This window comes from Homo sapiens, chromosome 11 (genome assembly GCF_000001405.40).
Source record: "Homo sapiens chromosome 11, GRCh38.p14 Primary Assembly".
Lineage (NCBI taxonomy): Eukaryota > Metazoa > Chordata > Mammalia > Primates > Hominidae > Homo > Homo sapiens.
Genome location: NC_000011.10, coordinates 36038447 through 36061049, shown reverse-complemented (window position 1 = coordinate 36061049; position 22603 = coordinate 36038447). Strand labels below are relative to the sequence as shown.

At 44.3% G+C, this 22603-nt stretch overlaps 1 protein-coding gene across 3 annotated transcripts in view, besides 1 other annotated feature; it reads right to left on the bottom strand.

Annotated features, from left to right (window-relative positions):
• Positions 1-22603, bottom strand: part of LDLRAD3 (low density lipoprotein receptor class A domain containing 3) — a 288075-nt gene that overhangs the window by 171087 nt on the left and 94385 nt on the right. The window lies entirely within an intron of this gene.
• Positions 21872-22379: an enhancer, noted in NCBI's record as "H3K4me1 hESC enhancer chr11:36060221-36060728 (GRCh37/hg19 assembly coordinates)". NCBI's record gives its function as "activates a minimal SCP1, AML or CMV promoter by ChIP-STARR-seq in naive H9 embryonic stem cells {active_cell/tissue: H9 hESC(naive)}" and the evidence as "EXISTENCE:reporter gene assay evidence [ECO:0000049][PMID:30033119]".

The following is a 22603-nucleotide window of genomic DNA, read 5'->3' as shown; positions in this document are numbered from 1 at the left end:
ACTTAGGCTCCACCAAAAAACTGTGAGGCAGGAATGATTACCAACACTGCACAGAAGACAGGAAGCATCACAGTGGTTAGGTAACCTGTCCAGGGACACACTTTTATATACATATTTATCTGTTATAAATTCATATTTTCATAAATTGAGTTGGCTGAGATAAATAAATAGTTTAAAATGTGGAAAATGGGATGTTATAAGGAAAAGCAGAAAAGAAAGGTAATAGACAAAAGCATTCCACAAACTATTATATGATTACTAGTATCAGGGCTCAAATTTTAGTTGAGTTTCCTTGTGACCAAAACAACAAAGGAAGCATGATCAATAGTGAGGATGGAGAGAAGTATCCAGAACATTAGAAGTGAACTCTTTATAAGACAAGAGATTTTTGGTGCTCCCACACCATAACCCCATCACACAAGCAAGTAAATCATAAAATGTGAGTCAGTTACAAAATTTGAACCCAGATCAGACTGAATCCCAATCCTACAAAGGCTACCCTAAGGAAGGATGAGTGTGAATTCATCATTCAAATTCCACATTCATTTCCTCAACAAGCACTGTGGTGGGGTGATTAAGAGCAACAACTCTGGAGTTGGACCACTTAAGTTAAACCCCAGCTCTGCAACTTTCTAGCTACATGGCTACATGATCTTTGATTGTGAGTTATATAACTTTTTTTTTTTTTTTTTTTTTGAGACAGAGTCTTGCTCTGTCGCCCAGGCTGGAGTGCAGTGGCGCAATCTCAGCTCACTGCAAGCTCCGCCTCCCGGGTTCACGCCATTCTCCTGTCTCAGCCTCCCGAGTAGCTGGGATTACAGGTGCCCACCACCATGCCCAGCTAGTTTTTTGTATTTTTAGTAGAGATGGAATGTCACAGTGTTACCCAGGATGGTCTCAATCACCTGACCTCGTGATCCACCTGCCTTGGCCTCCCAAAGTGCTGGGATTACAGGCATGAGCCACCTCACCCAGCTGAGTTATATAACTTCTGATGCCTCCATTTCCTTATCTGTAAAATGAAGATGCCAATCATGATACCCATCTCGCAAAACTACTTTGGAGATTAAATGTAAAGCACTTAGACTTTTTAGTCTCCATTACATAAGTGTAAACTATTACTATCCCTCCTATTCCCATCACTGTCTATTGATAACTGGCTATGTGCTAGGCATTGTGCTAAGCATGGGTGGATAGAGCCTTTCACAAGGCAGGGGAGGTCTCACTCTCAATGGTGCTCTAGTCAGGGGAGGATGAAAAAGAAAAAACAAAAAACAAATCAGGCAGTGCTAAGTGCTAGGTGGTGATGTACGGAGATGTGATAGTCGGCAACCGTACAAGTAGTTTGGGTGTTGAGGAAAGGAATATCTAAGGCAGAAGCAGTTCCAGAGAGGTTTAGAAGACAAGAAGTCAGCCAACCAAGGGTAAGAGGGGACAGCAGCCAGGCAGAGGCAACATCTCAAGAACATACCTAAAGCCTGGGAAGAACTTGAAACAGAAAGAAGGGTTGTGGAGTGGGGCTGAAGCAGAGTGCCCAGGGATGGCAGGGGAGGGTACAATGAATCAGAGAGGTCAGCAGGAGCCAGGTCAGGTAGGGCTTCTTCAGCCTGGCTAAGGAGTTTGAGTTCAGAATTCTAGCTGTGATGAGAAGTCATTACAGGGGAGTGACCTTATCTTTTTTTTTTTTTTTTCTGAGACAGGGTTTCACTCTGTTGCTCAAGTTTGTGTGCAGTGGTACAATCATGGCTCACTGCTGCCTCAACCTCTCATGCTCAAGTGTGCCCCAGCCTCCTGAGTAGCTGGAACTACAGGCATGAATTACTGACCAGCTAATTTTCTCATTTTCTGTAGAGACAATGTCTCACTATGTTTCCCAGGCTGGTCTTGAATTCCTCGGCTCAAGTGGTCCTCTTACCTTAGCCTCCCAAAATGCTGGGATTACAAGTGTGAGCCACTGTACCTGGCCTGATTTATCCTTTATAAAAGACCACTCAGCTGCCCTGTGAGAAATGCTCTGAGAGCACAGAGGGAGGCACAGAGGGAGGTAAAGGAAGCAGGAAGACCAGTCCAGGGAGTGACAACAGTGCCTTACACTAGCACAGGAGTGGGGAAGACAGAGAGCTGTGAATGAACTCAGTATCCTCTAAATCAGGGTTCCTCAACCTCAGCACTCTTCACACTAAAGCTGGATAATTCTTTGTTGAGGTGACTGTCCTATACATTGTAAGGTGTTTCACATCTTTCCTAGCCTCTATCCATATACACCAGCTGCAACCCCAATTGTGACCATCAAAAATGTCTCTATACATTGCCAAATGACTATGAGGGTTAAAATCACCTCTGACTGAGACCCACTGCTTTAGAAGTAGAGTTGACTGGGCTTGCTAATGGATTAGAATAGGGAGAGTGGGCAATTACTAAAACAGAGGACTCAAGAAGGATTTCTAAGTTTTTGTATGTAACAAGGTAAGATCATCTCAGACATTCAGAGGGCTCTCCCTCTATACCAGTGGACTGGGTTTTGATTTGCAGTGCCACTAAATCATTCATTCATTCAAACAGTCCACAATGAGTGTCAGCCAAACCCGATGCCAGGGATGCAAGCATAACTTAAAGAGCTCGCAATCTGACAGAGACGCAGACCTATAAGCAAATGGAGTTGATAAAGTAGGTCATATGCTTCAGAAAAACCCCCAAGACTGACCAGAAGCGTGAAGGAAGACGTGGCTCTTTGCTTCTGGGGGAAGTGGTGTGAGTGCTCCAGTGAGATTCCAGTGTTGTGCCTGGAAGACAGAGGCACAGAGGGAAATGGCATGTGCCACAGCACCAGGGTGTGAGACAGAGCTGGCGGGCGGAGAGCAGGAGGGAAGGAGCTGCTGCTGAAGAGACAGGAGGGACCAGCCAGGAGGGCTCTCTAAGACACACTTGATTTCATGTGCAATCTGGGAGCCACTGGAGGGTTGTTGTTATTATTCCTACTACTTATTACTAATGATTAAAGGAAAATCAAAGAGACATCTCCTGAGTGCTCAGAGGGCATCAACCCCAGTGCTGGGCGCTCCACTGAGATGAGGTACTTCATCCCTCCTCCAGATGAGAAAACTGCAACCTAAAGAACTCAGTGACTTGCACAAGATTTCTTGGCTGACAAGTGGCAGAGCCAGGATGTGAACCCAGACCAGCTGGCTCCAGAGTCCACGTTAAGCAAGGAAATGGTGACGCAAATGTGTGGTTTCGGACAATCATTCAGGAAATAAAAATATCTGAGGATCACTAGTTTATGGAAATAAATGAGCAAGGGAAAATGTATTAGATGGAAAGGTCAGAATTCATTTCCAGGCAACTGACGATCCAGGGAGGAAGACCAAGAAGGTAGAAGGGCAGCCAAGAGATAGTGGGCAGAATCTCAGCAAACAAAGGAGAGAAGACGAAGAGGCAGTCTGCAGTGTCCAGTACCGCTTCAAGGCCAAGTAATAGCGTATTTCAACATTTGCTGGATCTGACAACTAAGAGATTCTTGGAGCAAAACATTACTGTGGAGGATGCAAAAGCCAGGTGCAGAGGGCCAAGGAGTCACACACTGGCTACAACAAAGGAGAAGGAACAAGAGCCAGTGGGACACTAGCTTGAGGAAGAGTTTGGGGCCAAGGGACAGACGAAAGATGAGGAGGTAAAGAAGTAATTACTGCGAGGAATTCACAAACTTGAGTGTAGATTAGGCTCCCCCGGCGAAACAGGATACAAGTGGGCTTCTGGCCCCATCCCAAACCCAATAATCAATGTTTCCCAAGTTGGCCTCAATCCACCAGGGACCCTGACGATCACAGGAACCACTGAGTGAGGCGGCGTTTCTCATAGTGTGGTTCCTGGGACACTGGCAGTTTCCTGAGTCTATCCTAGGCCTCCTGATTGAGAATATCCCAGAAAGGTCCTGGGAAGCTGCTTACTGAAGACTCCAGGTCATTCTGATACAGCCAGCTTAGCTCCCTGAAAATCATAAACTCTAGACCCTTGTGGCTCAAAGTGTAGACCTCAGACCAGTGCATCAACAGTCACCTGGGGGGTTGTTTGAAATTCAATCAGCCTTACCCCACATACCTACTGAGCCAGACTCTGCATTTTACCAAGACCCCCATGCCTTTTGAATGCATATAAAGTTTGAAAAGCTCTGGACTGCAATACAGGGAGGATTTGGGGAGTGAAGGGAGAGGTATCGTGTACCCTCCTGCCAGACATATTTAGTGGAGAGTGCCCTGAGAATGCTTGCTGCTAATTTTAACAGGAGATAGCAAAGTGTTCCTCAAAGAAATCTCCTTCAAGGTTCTGATGCTTCAAGCCACTGCTGCACCCTTCAGGGCTGAGGAGCTAAGTCAATCATGATTTCAGACATTTAAAATGCAATATCTTTTTGCGGCAATGGGAAAGTATTGCACTTTATGCATTCCGAGAGCTCCAAGTGAATCCTGAAAACCTCCTCCATACAGACCTGCCGTGGTGTGCACTTACCCACAGGGGGCAGCACAGCAGAGTGGTTCAGTGGCTCAACTCAAGCCAGAATGTCTGCTTTCAAAACTTGGCTAGGCCACCCAAGTGCCTCAGCCAGTTACTTAACTTCTCTAAGCCTCAACTCTCCAACTGTATAATGGGGATACTAGCAGAACTTAGGTGATGTGAGGACTGAATGAGATCATCCATGCAGAGCATTGGGCACAGTGCCTATTATATAAAATTCAGTTGCTGTTTAAAGGCAGGCTGTCAGCCAGGTGCGGTGGCTCACACCTGTAAACCCAGCACTTTGGGAGGCCGCGGCGGGTGGATCACAAAGTCAGGAGTTCGAGACCAGCCTGACCAACATGGTGAAACCCTGTCTCTACTAAAAATACAAAATTAGCCGGGCGTAGTGGCGCATGACTGTAATCTCAGCTACTCAGGAGGCTGAGGCAGGAGAATTGCTTGAACCTGGGAGGCAGAGGCTGCAGTGAGCTGAGATCATGCCACTGCACTCCGGCCTGGGTGACAGAGCAAGACTCTTGTCTCAAAAAAAAAAAAAAAAAAAAAAGGGCAAGCTGTCTGACCCCAGAACCCCTACACTACATGCTCACTTAGAGTCTCTACCATTTTGCATAACCTTAAAGCTACCCAAACTCATTCCTACATGTGCAGGTCCACCTGCAAGAAAAACATTCTGTATTTTCACAAGGAAGAGAACATTCCATTGAAAATTACAGAGGTCTGTAGTTGTAAGGGTGCTTGAAGGTAACATAACAGAACCACTTTATAGATGAGAAAACTACGGCTGAGAAAAGCGAGAGTGCTCACCCACAGCAAGAGTTCATTCTTTGCACCAAAGTATACTAACTAGGAAGACCACAGGCAAGTGTCTTTTAGCGCTGTGGTTTCTACCCTGCACACGGGCACTGTGGCTGCACAGGCAATGGCTGAACCAGGGAAGACTGGCCCTTCTGGGCCGATAGTGCCATCTGCCAGTCCCCCAGGCTGTGCTAAGCAGTGGGAGTGCCCCTAGCACCATGGAATTAAATGGAGAAGCCAGTGAGGCTGCCAGGAACCCTCTGTTTCTGAACATGAAAGCCCTTCATTAGCTTCTGCCTCTGGTTTTAAATCCAAGCAAAATATCTGGATACCATGGCTTGAACTGATGATAATAGGCATCTATGCAAGGGCTGAGAGAGAAAGAGAGGGAGGGATAACACTCTCCAAGAGTTCATACCCCTTGGGACCCAAATCAAAAAGGAGAAAAGTTGAGAGAATATTTCCCTTCAGAAGAAAAATTAATTACAAGCAGGAATTGGGGTCAGGGCAGGTGGAAAGGGAGGATATGAGGCTGTTAAAGTGAATCAATCAAGTGATCCTTTAAAAGTGCTGAGAGAGCAAGTGTGTGTGTGTGTGTGTGTGTGTGTGTGTGTGTGTGTGTGTGTGTGTGTGTGATCCATCCACACATCCATCCATCCATCCATCTATCCATCCACCCATTCATCTATCCATCCATGCATCCATCCATCCATTCATCCAACCATCTATCCATCCATGCATCCATCCATCCATCCATCCATCCATCCATGCATCCATCCATCCGTGTATCCATCATCAATCCATCCATCCATGCATCCATGTATCCATCATCCATCCATTCATCCATCCATCCAGGCATCCATCCATCCATTCATCCATCCATCCATCCATCCATCCATTCATCCATCCATCCACCTATCCATCCACACATCATCCATCCATCCATGTACCCATCATCCATCCATCTATCCATCCATCCATCCAAGCATCCATGCATACTTCCATCCATCCATCCATCCATCCATCCACCCACCCATCCACCCATTCATCTATGCATCCACCCATGCATCCATCCATCTTCATTCTTTTTAAGCAGCAGCTTCTGTTGATGTTTTACAATTCTGTTCTTCCATCAGCAGAGAAATCAAAGAACTGGGTGATGTCAATCCTGTAAATAGCCAGCATCTCTGGGAAGATGCCAGAGGGCATGTTTCTATTTAGAAGGAAAAGAAGGCTCAGTAAAGTAAAACCCCATGCTCTAGGTTCCATGCAGGGTCAAGAAGAGCTGCTCTTCTACCTTGCTCGGCCATGGCATACCGGTCTACTCTGGAATTCACTCACAGAGGTACTGTTTTGTTTTTAAAATTGCTTGTTTTGTTTTGATTTTACTCACATCCCCTGCAGTCATACAAAGGGTAAATACAATGCTGCTCCTATGTAATTTTCCTCAAGGCCAGCCTTAAATATAAGACTTCAAAAAGGATTGCCGGTTGGTGGGAGAAAAATCCTGGCAGAATTAACAAATTAAGTGATGACACAAATCTGCCTTTGTACTCCCACTGTCTGGAATGAAAAACAAAATATTTCTGAAATGCAGAAAATGGGGGGGAAACCTGGCACACAACCTGGGATATTAAACAGAGAGCGCAGGGAAAGTGTGTTTCACATATGCATTGTTTTCATAATCGTTTACACTTGCCAAAGTTTGGTTTGCATCAGAGGATGATTATACAATCCACAGTTTATGTTTTCTTCTGAAATATACCCTACAGGGCAAAGGGAAGAGTGCAGGATGGATGGACTCTAGGGAACCCCATCCATCACCTTGTCTGTGGGCATAGCTAACTGCTAGCATTAGGGTGACTCCTTATAAGAGTCACATGACAACTTCTTGGAGGTGCTCATACAATGTTTCCAGGTAGCCCCTGTAGTAACTGTGAAAGGCCCCATCTCCTAATGGTGCATGGCCCATTCGCAGTGTCAAGGGCACTGAAGAGAGATCTTAATGGCATCATCTAAAAATTATCCTTAACCATGAACATAAGTCTCTTCTTCTGGGGTCACGGGAAGAGGATTCCAAGCAGATGTGCACCAGTCACTTCTGATTGTTAGAACAGTAGTGTTGCTGCTGCTAGTGGCAGCCAAGGCTGATGTCTACCAGGCACTGTACCAAGCACTTTGTATACATCCTTATGTTTATTTCTTGGACAGGTGGCGAGACTTACCCAGCCGTACAACACAGCCAGTCATGAGTGAAGCTGGGAGCTGAAACCATCAAAAGCCTGAGCATTTCTATTAACAGGGAGCTCATTAGCACGTAAGGCGCTCCACAGCTACCTTTAAAGAGTTGCAGAGAGATTTTGGCTCATTATGAGAAATAAATTTCTGAGTACTCTCATGCTATGATAGTTGGAAGTGAGCTCTGTTCTGAAAAAAGACAATTACAGTGCTGTCTTTGGAATCACAGATGTCAAAATGAGATTTAAAAAAAGAAAGAAAAAAAAGGCTGCTTAGAGAGCAAGTCCAGTAGGAATCAACTCTTTTGTCTGTTTACCACAGAAGCCTCTGTGAAAATCAAATCTCAAGCCCAATAGATATTTTTTACAAAATAGACTTATAGCTGCTTTGTTTTCGGCAAGGACAAGAGTCCATGCTCCAAGCCCCCATGGCTCAGGTGCTCTCCTTTCTCCCTTTGGCACTCCAAGAAGTACAGTTAGAAAAACAGATAGGGGTCCTACTCCTCACTGCAGAGTTTAAAAAAAAAAAAAAAATCAGACCTCAAATCAGAGAGCTGGGTCCTAGCAAATCCTGATTGGTCCTTATGACAGATATGCTAGACCCTTCACACATCAGCTTCTAGGACCTGGGCAGCATTTCTCTTTATGCTTTAATTTTTCTTTATGGTCCAAGGACAACCAGTTGCATGTACTTAAAGATGACATTGTTAATAACTATAGCTAATTCTTTTCAACAACTAAGAAGGGTCAAGCATTGTTAATACCTGTTAAACACTTAACAGGTACAAATGTATTTAAACTCTAGGAGGTAGATTCTATTTTATTATTTCCCTATTTCACAGATAAGGAAACTGAGGCACAGAGAGATTAAATAATGTGTCCAGTATGCAAAGGAACTAGGACAAACCCATGTTGGCCTCTGTCAAGCTTGTGTGTTTTCAAGCACTCCACACACTGCCTCCCATGCCAAAATAAGATGATGTTAGAAATGAACAATTATCATTATCCCACCTTCCAGAGATACCCACTGTTAACAGGGATATAATCTTATTGGCAATATTTGTTGAAATTTCCAACAGACAGGTGTCTCTTGCTGAGAATTTCATTTCTGGCTCAGATAAAGTCATCTCCTCTCATGGGCATTGCAACAAGAGCATCTGCGATCTATTTGATTTCTTTAGGAGATAATACGCATGAAAGAACTTTAAAAGCAAAACAAAGCAATAACCCATATCATGTCACCATCCCATTACTTAGCACTCCCTGTTCAAAACAGTTTGCTTTTGAGGCCACCAAACTAACTGCAATGCATCTGCCTGGACTTAGCAGAAGGAATGCTCTGCTGAACATTCCCCCTACCCAGACATCAAAAGAGGCTGGCAATGTAAGATTTGTCCAACCAACTTCCTTACTCAGTGAGACTCAGTCTAGTCCTATGACAGATGAGTTTCAAAATTCAGTGAGCACCAGACTCCCCTGGGCTGCTTGTTTAGATGCAGATTCCTGGGCTCCACTCTGTTTCTAAGAATTCTATTCCAGCAGCTTTTCAGTCATCCCCAAATCTGCATTAACAAATGAGTAATGTGACCCATCAAGCACAGTTTAGAAAGTACTGGTTGGGCACTGTCCCTAAGAGCCCAGGAGCCCAAGGTGGCAAAGAGCTTAGCCCTTTATTTTGTGGTTATTCGAGAGACGACTCAAAACTTAGTTTGTTTCACTTTTCTTTTTCTTTTTCTTTTCTTTCTTTTTGTTTGGCAGCACCATGCTGAGCCACCAAGATAACACTCCAGTACTCCTTTATTCATTCCGAAAATTTATGAGTCGTGTCATTATGGTTAGTCTGGTGACTGACAGATGATGGCAGGCAAGCGTTTACAACCTTTTTTACCATAACTTTTATACAGGAGAATTTAAAGCATGAAGTAATGTCAAGAACTGCAACAAACATTTATTGAATGCTTACTGTGAAGCAGGTGTTGTTCTAAGAGCTTTCCAGAGAGTCATTTAATCTTCACCAGCCCGTGACACGGGAACTATTCCTATCTCATTTTACAGATGTGGCAACTGAGGTACAGAGAGGTTAAGTAACTTGCCCAGGATCACACAGCTAGGTAGAGGTAGAGCATGATTTGACTCACTCATCCCACTTTGGCGCCAATGCTCTCAACCATGTTGACCACCAAGCACATGGCTACTTCCTTCCCTTGGCTTATGTGGCCCTGCCTGACTGACCCACCACATACTTCTCTAGGTGCCCCTGAAACCTTTCCTCTCCCTTCCCACCAGCCATAGGAATCACCATAAGCAGGCCTAAATATGCAGCATCCTCTTCTTTCTTTACCCTCAGGGCTATATTTAGGCTTTCTTTTTCCATGAAAGTCCTTCCACCCTGCAATGGACTGGATGTTTTTGTCCTCCTGAAATTCTTCTGTTGAGTCCCTAGTCTCCAATCTGATGGTAATAGGAGGCAGGGCTCTTGGGAGCTGGTTAGATCATGAGGGTGGAGCCCTCATTAATGAGATTAGTGCCATTATGAAAAAGGCCCAAGGGAGCTCAGGCATCCTTTACACCATATGAGGACACAGTGAGAAGACGGCTGTCCACAAACCAGGACGCGAGCCCTCACCAAACACCAAATCTGTCAGTGCCTTGGTCTTGGACTTTCCCACTCCAGAACTGAGAGAAATAAGTGTTGCTGTTTATAAGCCACCCAGTTAGTGGTATTTGAATGGATTAAGATACTGTCACTCTGAGAAGATTAAATGAAAAAAATAAAGCAGAGGGTCTTCAACTCTACATCCTTCTAAAGGGACACTCAGTATAGGCTCTGAGTGCCAGTAGTGACGAAAAATAGAGAGGATGCAGCAGTCAGGTCTTGAATCAAGGCAGCCAGCACTGTCACCACTGAACTACACTCAACTTTCCCTTAACAGCATCAGACTGGCCAGTGGCCTCCATTCCAGGGAACTGGGAACAGCCCTAGTTTGGATTTTAATGTCAGACAAGTGGCAGAGACCCACCATGTTCTGCATCAGGGCCATCTGCTCCCTGTCATCCAACAGCTTCACTCAGTGGCCCACCAGACTGCCTGCCCTGCTGCCTGGGGACCAACAACAATCTGAATATGTGGTCTGAGCATCAAAAAGCAGGCACTGCCCAGGGCTCAACAGGACAAGGTCTACAGACATGCAGCAGAGTGACGGTGATGGGCTTGCACAGGCTCAGGAACACACATACAGCTACCAGCAGGATCCTGCTACAGTTCACTTGTCATTGGCTAAAATGTTCAAAACAGCTGAGGGAAAACATAGATCATGGAAACCTCCTTACCACAATCACTTACTCCTCCAACAGTGTCCAATCCATCTTTGAAGCATTCTCTCTTAGCTCTCTATGTGATTCAAGAAAGCAACAGGATGGCCTCTCTCCCTCCTCTCTCCAAATAAACAAAATTCTCGGGTCTATTCTCCTCACCTCTCTCTCAGAGGTCAGTAAACATCACAGGCTTTATTGCTAGATCCTGAAAGAGCAGGAGAGGCAAACAACACTTCACTTGACAGGAGACAGCAGGAGCCAAGATGGTCTTCAGATCCTGCATATTTAAATCTCATAGAGAATCTGAGACACTGATTTTTTGCCTCTCCACCCTTATCCCACCAAAATGAAGGGCAAGGACAATAGAAATAAGTAACTCAGGTACATGCAAGTGATGCCTTTTCAGGGGAGTAAGGACTGTATTTTAATTTGAAATTAACCTAAAGCTCTGCAGTGCTATAGAACATGGAATACTTGCAATGTAACCTACCTGAGTCCTTTGCCTTCCAATCACTGATTCTAGAACACCCAACAGCCTTTCAGACCTAAGACATTCCCTACATTTTATGTGACTCCTCTTGTAGTGATCTGAGAAAAGGACATGACATTAACCATGTCAAAAGCTAAAAGTTTCTGAAATGCTTTCTAAAGAGGGGTATGCAGTTACCTTTTGACTTCAAAGATTCTCTACCCCCATCTCCTCCCACTCCCAACCTTTAGAAAATATTCAAGTGTTACTAGTGAGAGAGTCTCTCTGGTCATGTGTCTGCATTATATGAATGCACCACATTCTCTTTTTCTAATTATTATTTTCTCATCTGTCTCAAGATTTTTTTAAAAAGCGATCTGGCAACTGCACACTAGCTATGTTGCAGATAAAAGTGCAAGTCTGCATTAAAAAATAAAAATAAAGACTGCACACCCTAACTTGGATCAGCAAGATTTGTCTGGATGTGCCAGGAGAAAATTTTTTTTGATGTTCTGTGATTTTGCAGCCATTTAAATTTTATTAGCCATTACCAAGCGTATTACCACTGACTATATTTTGCAGTTACAGCCAAGTCCTGGCAATGAGAGCATGCTGGAATGACAGGGGCCCAGGCAACCTGACCACACTCATTCCAGAAACACAGAAACATGACCCTTGCCCCCCAGCTCAGAGTTATTTCATTAAGATTCTCCCCTTGCAAGCAGAGAAAAGGCAGCACACAGTGCTGATGATAATGAAGCTCTCTGGAAGTGGGGAAGAAGACTGGCGAGATGGAATGAAGCTGATATTTGTGCAAAAGAATTGGTTTAAAAGACAACTTTAAGACGACTCCATACCACTCACTTCTCAGCTGGTGACAATATTGGCATTTAAATTGGTAGTTTCCAAGAAAGCAGTGGCAGGTCCCAAACAACAGCTGCTATCACCTAGGAGGGACCAAGGGAGATGGAAGAGGCCTGGTGGGATTCTTGCAGATGCCGTCCAAGTCCCCCTATCACCACCAGAATAGGATTAGAATGGCACCAGCAGAGATATGTGACAGGAGACTTAACTAAATAATGAAACAAACGTTCTAAGAACTGGGGGATTTAGTCACTTCAGAAAATGAAACAGTCACTCTTCTCCTGGGAGATACTTAATTGGATAAGTTCTTCTCAGATTTTCTCTAGGCTCCAGGAAGCCTTATCTCAATAGACCTGACTCAACTTCTTCCCAACCAGAGTCTTGGGTCTTCTGTCCCAGCTTCAAGGGAGGGAGCACCGGGACCCCAGGTAGATAGTCTGATTCTTCTCACCTCCTGGGCAGGGGGTGGGGGTGTCAATGGGAACTCGACAGCATTGTAGTTGGAGTGGGGCTCCCCATCCTAGGCTGTCCCCCAGCCCACTCCTCAGAACCAGACTATCAAGAGATCCCTGGATTCCATCTCCTGAAAATGGTTCAGGGAAGAGGAGGTGCTAATTTTGACTAATGTGCTGTAAACCTGAACATCCACAGTATTTCTGAAACAGAACTGTCACCTGTTAGAAAGGAGAATCTATGGAGAATCACCCAGCTCATCTTTGACACCTGAAAAAGCCTGGATCAAAAACTCTCGCCAACCCTGGAGGCTCTCTCTCTTACATGGCACAATGCATCCCTGGGGAAGGCAGAAGATGGAAAAGTGTATCGTATTAAGTGCCTGCTATGCACCAGGAGCCAGCACTTTCATATGTATTCTCACCCTGCCCCTTTTCACATCTGCTCCCATTTCCCAGATGAAGGAACTGAGATTCCAAGAAGAGAAGTGACTAGCTAGGGGCAGAGCTGGGATCTCCACACTGCCAGGAAGAGTACAGCTGACATTGATTGTGTGCTTCCTCTGTGCCAGCTGCTGTTTGAAGGGGTTTCAAGGTTTCAGCTCATTTAATTCTCACAAAAATGCCATGGGGATGATGAGGAAACTGAGGCCAAGTACCTTGCGTAGGTTGCACAGCTCCCAGATGATGGAGTCAGGATTCAATACTGGCAGTGTTGGGTGCAGAGCCAGGTCCTTCTCACTTTGCACCCTGTCTGCTACCCTCTAAGCACAGCATCCAAAGGAAAACATACACACATGGTGCATTTATCTGTTTGGAAATGTTCAGCACCATTGGCTGAAATATCATATGCTAACAATCAGAGAAAATTAGTGCATTTCATTGAATCCAAGATGCCACTGAGTGCAAAGCATGCTACTATTTTATGTACAACTAAGAAAGAAACAACTCTGCCAATTAAATTAGGACACTGTGTTTTCTTAGCCCATTGAAAAATGTGGGGAAAAAATGTGTGTCTCGGAATTTAAAAAACACTGGAGGCCTTAGAATGATCAAGACGGTGAAATGCATGAAAGATGCAGAATGGACATGGTTCTCTGTGAGTGCAAAAAGTAACCTAATATCTGATTTCTCAAGAAAACCTGATAATCTAATTTTTATGTGCAAGCTCTTGCTTTATAAACACCGACAACTAATTATTGTTTTTAGTGTCCTTGTGCAGGACAAACAAAACCTGACAGCAGTCCAAACTGGCTGGGACCCCCAGTTGGAGCCCTCCCAGGTCCCAAACAGGGCTGGAGAGTGGAGAGCTGGTGACACTGTGTGCTTAGTCCACAGCAGCCCCCTCCAGCCCCAGGGCTACTAAAAGCACAGAACTTTCACAGACTGCCATACATACTAACTAGCATTTAGAGTATCCTCACATTATGGAAATGGCCAAATGAAGGCATCAGATTATAGAAGAAAAAAGAGTACATCCACCTGACTTTTAAAATATATATATTTATTTATTTTCTCATTTGAATCACCCTTCCTGCTTTATTGACACACTTGGTTTTGTTCCATAACCACCATGCTACAAAGGCAGAGGTAAAACAATTAATAGCGATATTCCCCAAGTGAATGCAGTGAGCATCCACACAGCTTGGGGACCACCAGGCAGCTAAGTTTGCAAAGGCCTCCTCTGGTGGTAGCTGCTGGTCACTGGGAGCTTTACCTCCTCAATATTTACCCAGTGTAGCAGGTTGAACAGTGCCCTGGGACCTGTGAATGTGACCTTATATTTGGAAATTGGGTCTTTGCTGATATAATGAAGTTAAGATAAAGTCATACAAGATTAGGGTGGGTCCTAATCCAATGATCAGTGTCCTTAAAAAAGAAATCTGGACAAAGAAGCAAAGAGACACAGGGAGAGAACCATGGGATGATGGAGGCAGAGACGGAGTGATGTATCTACAAGCCAAAGAACACAAGGATGGACAGTGTATTAGTCTGTTCTCATGCTGCTAATAAAGACATACCTGAGACTGGGTAATTTATAAAGAAAAAGAGGTTTATTGGACTCTCAGTTCCACATGGCTGGGGAGGCCTCACAATCATGGCAGAAGGCAAAGGAGAAGCAAAGCCACGTCTTGCATGGCGGCATGCAACAGAGCTGGTACAGGGGAACTCCCATTCATAAAACCATCAGATCAGGCTGGATAAAGAAAATGTGGCACATATATACCATGGAATACTATGCAGCCATAAAAAAGAATGAGTTCATGTCCTTTGCAGGGACATGGATGAAGCTGGAAGCCATCATTCTCAGCAAACTAACACAGGAACAGAAAACCAAACACCACATGTTCTCACTCATAAGTGGGAGTTGAACAATGGGTATGCATAGACACAGGGAGGGGAACATCACACACTGGGGCCTGTTGGGGGTGGGGGACGAAGGGAGGGAGAGCATTAGGACAAATACCTAATGCACGCGGGTCTTAAAACCTAGATGACAGGTTGATGGGTGCAGCAAACCACCATGGCACATGTATACCTATGTAACACACCTGCACTTTCTGCACATGTATCCCAGAACTTAAAATAAAATTTAAAAAGAACTTACCATGTAACCAAAAACCACCTGTTTCTCAAAAACTACTGAAATAAATTTTTTGAAATGAAAAAAAAAAAAAAACCCATCAGATCTCGTGAGACTTATTCACTATCATGAGAACAGCACAGGAAAAACCCACCCCCATGATTCAATTACCTCCCACCAGGTCCCACCCATGACCACATGAGGGTTATTACAATTCAAGGTGAGATTTGGGTGGGGACACAGAGCCAAACCATATCAGACAGCTAATCAGTGGCCAAAGTATATCAGACAGCAAATCAGTAGAAGTGAGGACAAGGCAAGGAAGGATCCTCCCCTAGAACCTTCAGAGAAACCACGGCCGGGCCGACACCTTGCCTTAGACATCTAGCCTCCAGAACTGTGAAAGAATAAATATCTGTTGTTCTAAGCCACCCAGTTTGTGGTATGTTGTTACAGCAGCCCTAGGAAACTAATAAAACCAGAAAGATTTGGAGCACTTTGTACTTCCTCCCCTTAGTGTAAAATTACCAACATCTTCAAAAATCTACCAGGGGCCTTTAAGAAAAGTTTGAATACAGTCAAACGCATGTTAAGTGTAGCCTGACAACCTGGAAACGTCTGTATGTAGGTGGGTGCTTATCAGATGCCCACCTCAAACTTCATGCTGTGATTCCAACATCTGAACTGAAAGTCTGTCCTCATGATAGGCCACAAGGCACAAAGAGCACATCTGGAGTGGCAAGAGGGGGTCAGGAAGACAGTAATTTTTGCAAGTTCTAGGCCTACAGTGCTGAAGGCCATAGGGAGTGGTGCTGACTTCAGGCCAGTGTGGTGAAGGTGGAAAAGACTACATACTCATGGAGGCTGAGAAGCCTGAGCGCTGAAGCAAAATATCGTCATTAAAATCCACTTAGGTGTTTAATTGTGCAGGGCTCCAGCAGAGCTGAGAACAGCGGATGGCAGCCACTCTGGGGGTGGGCGCCCACTGCAGGTCCATTAAGACATAGGTCCCCATCTGAATGCAGAAGAGGTACCTCCAAGCTTCCTTCCCTGCAACCTCAAGAGCCTGGCTCACCTCAGCCCCTCAAATGTTTGTTTCCTTCCCTTTTGCACCAGTTTGGGCATCTGGCTGGCTCCCTGGAGCTCTAAGCTAAAAGCTATTCCATGTGAGCTCATGAATGTGTGTCCAAGACTGGACAGTGAAAAGCAGATACTGGCCTAGCAGATGAAGGTGTTTCTGTGGCACAGGCTCTCAAACTAAGAGCAAGAAAAGACCGGGCGTGGGAAGGGGAAGCGGAGGATGGAGGTGTTGGGAACAGGGGAGTAATAACTCCCAGCATTGCTCTGGCCAGGAAATGTCACCAGTATACATGTGTTTGAGGGAATAGGGTCAGCTAGCATTCACTGAATGCTTAACTCACACCAGGCACCAGCTACAAGCCTCATATTAGCTCATGTCAGACTCAGAGCTGATCTTCACCTTCTCTGCACCAGGAAACAGTACCTATTGTTTAAATCCAGTCCTTTCTAACTGGCTTACGGCCTGCACACAGCACTTACTAGATGTTTAAAACATCACCCCTGAAATATCACATCTCTGGGATAGGCACTGCTATTATCTCCATTTTACAGATGAGAAAATAGGTGCATGGTAAGCCCGGGGGCTGCACAGGTCATAAATGGAAGCTGGGGGAAGAACTCAGTACTGTCTGGGCCCAAAGCCCCTGTTCTTAACCATAGCATTAATGGTTTTGCATTTAAGACTAAAGAAATTTAGTGAAGTGAGGATCATGCCAGGAATTAGGTGAGACATTTAAAAACCAAATACAAACAGAATGACTCAATGAGAAAAGAAGCAACGCTAATATACATAGGTCTTGGATTTCCCGCACACCGTAAGCGCTGTGAAAGAGCATGTCTTTTCATTCTGAAGTGTTTAATGGACAGAGCTTTAAACCACGATATTCTCTAGACCCTTCAGAGTGCCAGTTATGTTTTCTGAGGCTCAACTCCTTCAGAAGGCCCTTGGAATTCAGCCCTTGGCTAGCAGTGGCTTGCCAAGAACCAAGATGCAGAAAAAAAACCGGACATCTCACTCATACGAGAAAGCCAATCCTTGGCACTCCTTGGCTTGCAGGTGCCTCCCTCCAGTCTCTGCCTCTGTTGTCACATGGTCTTCTTCCCTCCTATCTTCATATTATCGTCTTATAAAGACAACATTCACATTGGATTAAGGGCCCACCCTACTCCAGTACAACCTCATCTTAACTAATTACATCCACAAGGACCCCCATTTCCAAATAAGGTCACATTCTGAGATACCGGGGGTTTGGATTTCAACATATCCTATATCCTTTTGGAAGATACAATTTGACCCATAACAGTGAGATTCTTACTTGCAAATTGTTAAAGGAAAAAAATGAAAGCAGGATGTCTGCAGACGTCAGCCTGTTAGACAGCTGCAGGAAGCTATCATTCACTATATAATAATTTTTGGGGTTTGTTTTGAGATACGGTCTCACTCTGTCACTCAGACTTGAGTGCAGTGGCACAATCTCAGCTCACTGCAACCTCCACCTCCCAGGTTCAAGTAAATCTTGTGCCTCAGTCTCCCAAGTAGCTGGGATTACAGGCTCCCGCCAACACATCTAGCTAATTTTTGTATTTTTAGTAGAGTCAGGATTTCACCATGTTGCCCAGGCTGGTCTCAAATTCTTGGGCTCAAACGATCTGCCCACCTTGGCCTCCCAAAGTGCTGGGATTACAGGCATAAGCCACCATGCCCAGCCTATAATAATTTTTTTTTTTTAAACAAAGGAGATAGTTTGATGGTCGTATTAGTTTGCTAGGGCTGCCATAACCAAGTACCACAAATTGGACAGCTTCCACCACAGAATTCACTGTCTCACAGTTCTGATGGCCAGGAGTCTGAAATCAAGGTGTTAGCAGGGTTGATTCCCTCTGGGGGCTGTGATGGAAGGATCTGTTCCAGGCCCTCTCCTTGGAGTGTAGACAGCTGTCTTCTTGCTCCAAGTCTTCACATCATCTTCCCTCTGTACATATTTCTGCTTCCAAATTTCCCCTTTTCATAAGGACTCCAGTCGTATTGGATTAGGACCCACCTAACAACTTCATTTTTACTTGGTTACCTTTATAAAACTCCATCTTTAAATAAAGTCACATTCTGAAATACTGGGGGTTAGGACTTCAACACAGGAAAATTGTGGGGGAAGGCTGGGCTATAATTCAACCCAAAATGATAGTGTTGTGCCAGTTCTGCTTTCTACAGAGTGATGGGGAGAACTGAGCCCACTGCAGCTGCACACAATGACTGACAGGTTGCCTTTCTAAGCCACAGCTCATCAGCCAACACATCCCCTTCTTTGAGAAATGACAGAACGGCCCAAGAGAAGCAGCAGCAAGCTCTATCCATCCTATGAAAGCTTCCTGATTTCCAGAGGCATTTGGTGTGTGGAGCCGGCATTAGGTGCCCTAGAGAAACAGCTGAATTCCTGGTAAAGCTTAGAAAAGGTAAAGGATAACTCAGAATCCAACTTTTTCCCCACATCTCTACTTGCCCTGCAGTGCAAGTTTAAAAGAAAATATATGTGGCACCACCTAGAGGCAGAAGACGAGGCAGATGCTAAAAAGGAAAAGAGGAAGAGTATGGAGCCTGAACAATCTCAACCCCAGCTTTCTTGCTCTTATATTTCGTGGTGATCATTTGCCCAAACTTGCCCTCTCAACCCTATCTCATGGATTTATGCCTTTACACCAGAGCAATAATAACACATGTTCAAGAAACGGTCAGGAACAGTAAAAGCAAGTAAAATTCAAATCCCATTTTTGCACCTACTTTTCTATCTCTGGATTTGGAGATTCATTAATATTTTATCATTTAACAAAGTCCTCAAATTTATCCCTCCTCCACACCCCCCTCAACCAAACACACCCACCAAACATAAAGGGCCAGGTCTGTACATGGAAAGTCAAAGACATCAATCAGTGTAACTTTCCAAAGAAGAAAATGAACCGCCTTGGGAAGACGACCCCAAACATTCAAGATCCCCTCAACCACTTGGTTAGAACACGGAGAGACAGCAGCTAAAATCAACACAGAACTGGAAAAAGATCTTAAGGCTCTTGACCCCTGGTCCCCTGTGGGTTCTGGAAATTTGGACTGCTGCTTTATTACAGAGGGGAGCACTAATCAAAGGACAGTCTCTTCAAGGAAAACATTTCAGAGACTCCCAGGACTAACGGCCATGTAAATATTCATTTCTATAAGAAACCATTATTGACGTTTTTAGAATCTTTTTAAAAAGCAGGTTTGACATGATAATATGTCATGATAGCAGTAAGATTCCATTTCAGCAGGGTAACAGATACCTAGAGAAAAAGACTGAAAGCCCCCACTGGGGGTCTCTGATGGAGGAAGGTTATGGAGACTTATTTTCTGGGCCAACAGGCAAGCTCCATGTAATCGCTCTACTGCTCAATTTCCTCATCTGGAGATGACACCAGCCGGTTACTAATAAGGCTTCCGCAATAATCAAATGAATCAATAGAATGTAAAATGCCTGGGATAGTGTGGCCTAGAGGAAGCTCTAATAAGCTCTCCTCATAATCAGGACTTCCATGGAGCTTCCTCGTTTTTGTAAAACATTATCTTTATTCCTTTTATTTTATTTTTAAGTTATTTGGATAAAACTATCACTGAGGGCACTCCACTAACCAAGAACAGAAATATACTCAAAGTGTCCCAAAATGACCCTCTTCTACAGATTCAAGAGGCAGAAAATCTAATGTCTTAACTCAGCTGGAAATTAATATTAGTCCATCAATAGGTATCTCACAAAGAAATAAAACTAGTAACTAGAGGTAAGGGAAAACACTCAATCTAGCTAGATAATTTTTTTTAATTAAAAAAAGTAACTTTTCAATTATTAAATTAACCAGAAAAATATTTTTTAAAGATGTTACCCAGGGCTGCCAAGACTAAAATAAAGTCATAGTTTTCACATGTTGCCAACAAACTGGTGCAAACCTTTAGCAAAACAAGTCGGCAGTCGGTGTCAAGAGCCAGAAAAGGCGCCTTCCCTCCAACCCAGTAATTTTAATTCTGAGAATTTAGCCTAAGCAAATTTCTCAAAACAGAGGGAAAGTCATGTCCACCCTCCTGTTCACAAGTGAGCACTGTTTCCCATAGTGGAAAACTGGAAAGAAGAGAAATGCCAAATTATGTGTAAATAAACCATATTATAGCAAGTTAATGGCACTAAAAATGATAAAGAGAAAAATGGGGGGAGATACAGAAAAACTGTTAACAGGTTGAAATGTTACATGAGAAAATGTCAAAATATAAAACTGTACACCCCTGGCGATTACACTGGGGAAAAGCCTGAATGAGAACTTCCAGGATGCCAATAGTGGATCTGAGTACAGATGCTTTTCCTCCTTCTCTGCCCTCAATTTTTACAATATGTGATCTTATTACCGTCACGATTAAAAAAAAAAAATCTTCCTGTCTGGTAAAAATCCTTCCTCTGCTGTGGATACAGAAGAGCTGCTCACTGCCTCATATCCCACCATGACACACCTCTCCAGGCTCTTTCTTGCCCTTCGAAAAGGGCAAGAATTCTTTTTTAAGAAGCGTATTATCTTTCCAATGCCAAAGCTCCACAGGGCACTTGAAGTAATCACCTCTCCGAGGCGAGAACACTGCCACCTTCACTCACCTCCCCTTAAGTACCCAGTTGCTCCAAAGAATCAGAGAAAGGGCTTTGTAGCTCATAAGCAAGACACAGAACCAGTCTCCCTCCCTCCGGGAAGGCGGCAGAAATTCCACATCAGCCGTTTCCATCATCCTTGAAAAGGTGGTCAAGTTGGTCACCCTGGAGACCTCAGCCCTGTCCACCCTGACTCTGGCTGAAACCATTGTATATTTCTGTCGTCTGGTTATGCATAAGTTCTTTAAATGATCCTAAACATTTTGACCAGCAGAAGTAAAAGTGCAGAAGAGACTGAAACAGAAGAGACTGAAACATAGAGGGATGGTTAAGTTACAGTGTCACTACTTGACAGAGCATTAGGCAGCCTCCCAAAACAACTGTGAATCCTCAATATAGAATGTGGCCAAGGGCCTCTAATGTTAAGTAGAAAAAAGCAGATAATTGAACCGTATTTCCCCATGACAACGACCAAATAAAATAGTTGATACAGATTTAACCAATAGCAGTTAATGTTTACAAGCCACTTACTGTATACAGGCACTGTGCTGCGTGCTTCATACAGGTTAAAATTTCACAACACTGTTAAGTATCAGAAGCCTTATTACCCCCATTTTGGAGAGGAGGAAATTGAGGCACCAGGAGGTTAAAGAATTCTCTTTAAACCTCCCAAAGGCTAAAGTTTAGAACATTCTGGTAAGTTTCCCACGATCACACAGCCCCCTAAGGGGGAAGAAGGGCTCTGATTTTGACACAAATCGGCCTTCTCAAGGGCTCACACCCTCACTCCTAGGCTGAAAGGGAATATATAAGAAATTTTAGGCCGGGCGCGGTGGCTCACGCCTGTAATCCCAGCACTTTGGGAGGCCGAGGCGGGCGGGTCACGAGGTCAGGAGATCCAGACCATCCTGGCTAACACGGTGAAACCCCGTCTCTACTAAAAATACAAAAAAGTAGCCGGGCGTAGTGGCGGGCGCCTGTAGTCCCAGCTACTCGGGAGACTGAGGCGAGAGAATGGCGTGAACCCGGGAGGCGGAGCTTACAGTGAGCCGAGATCACGCCACTGCATTCCAGCCTGGGTGACAGAGGCAAGACTCCGTCTAAAAAAAAAAAAAAAAGAAAGAAATTTTAAATGAAAGTAGAATTTGTTTTAGAAAAGGGACTTTTTCTCCTTCCCTCTACTGTCTAAACTTTCTAATGTTCTGTTTTCACGATTTAAAGACAAAAAAAGAAGGGCTACAGAGAGAGGTTAATGTATGTTTGGGGCGCATGGTTTTTTAATTATGTTTTGCTCAAAGGACTAAATAAATGCCACTCAAACCTCCACCACACTTGGGGGTTAAGGGTAGGAAGTCAGGGGAAAAAAATAATGGAGAATAGCCAAGAATGAGCCTGTTCCAAACCAAACCAAGCAGCTCCAGGCAGCTGCCGGCAACATCTTTTTTAAAAACATTTGCTCTCCACCATGTCTTCCAGTTTGAGCATGAATTCTAAAATCATGAGACTGGAGTGACAGGACACAGAATGCCATAGAATGCACTAATATCACACAGCTGCTATTGACAAAGCTGGGCATACAATTTAGGAATCAACTCCTTAATCCTGCGTTCTTTCAGAAACTGATCATGTGCCAAACATTCCCA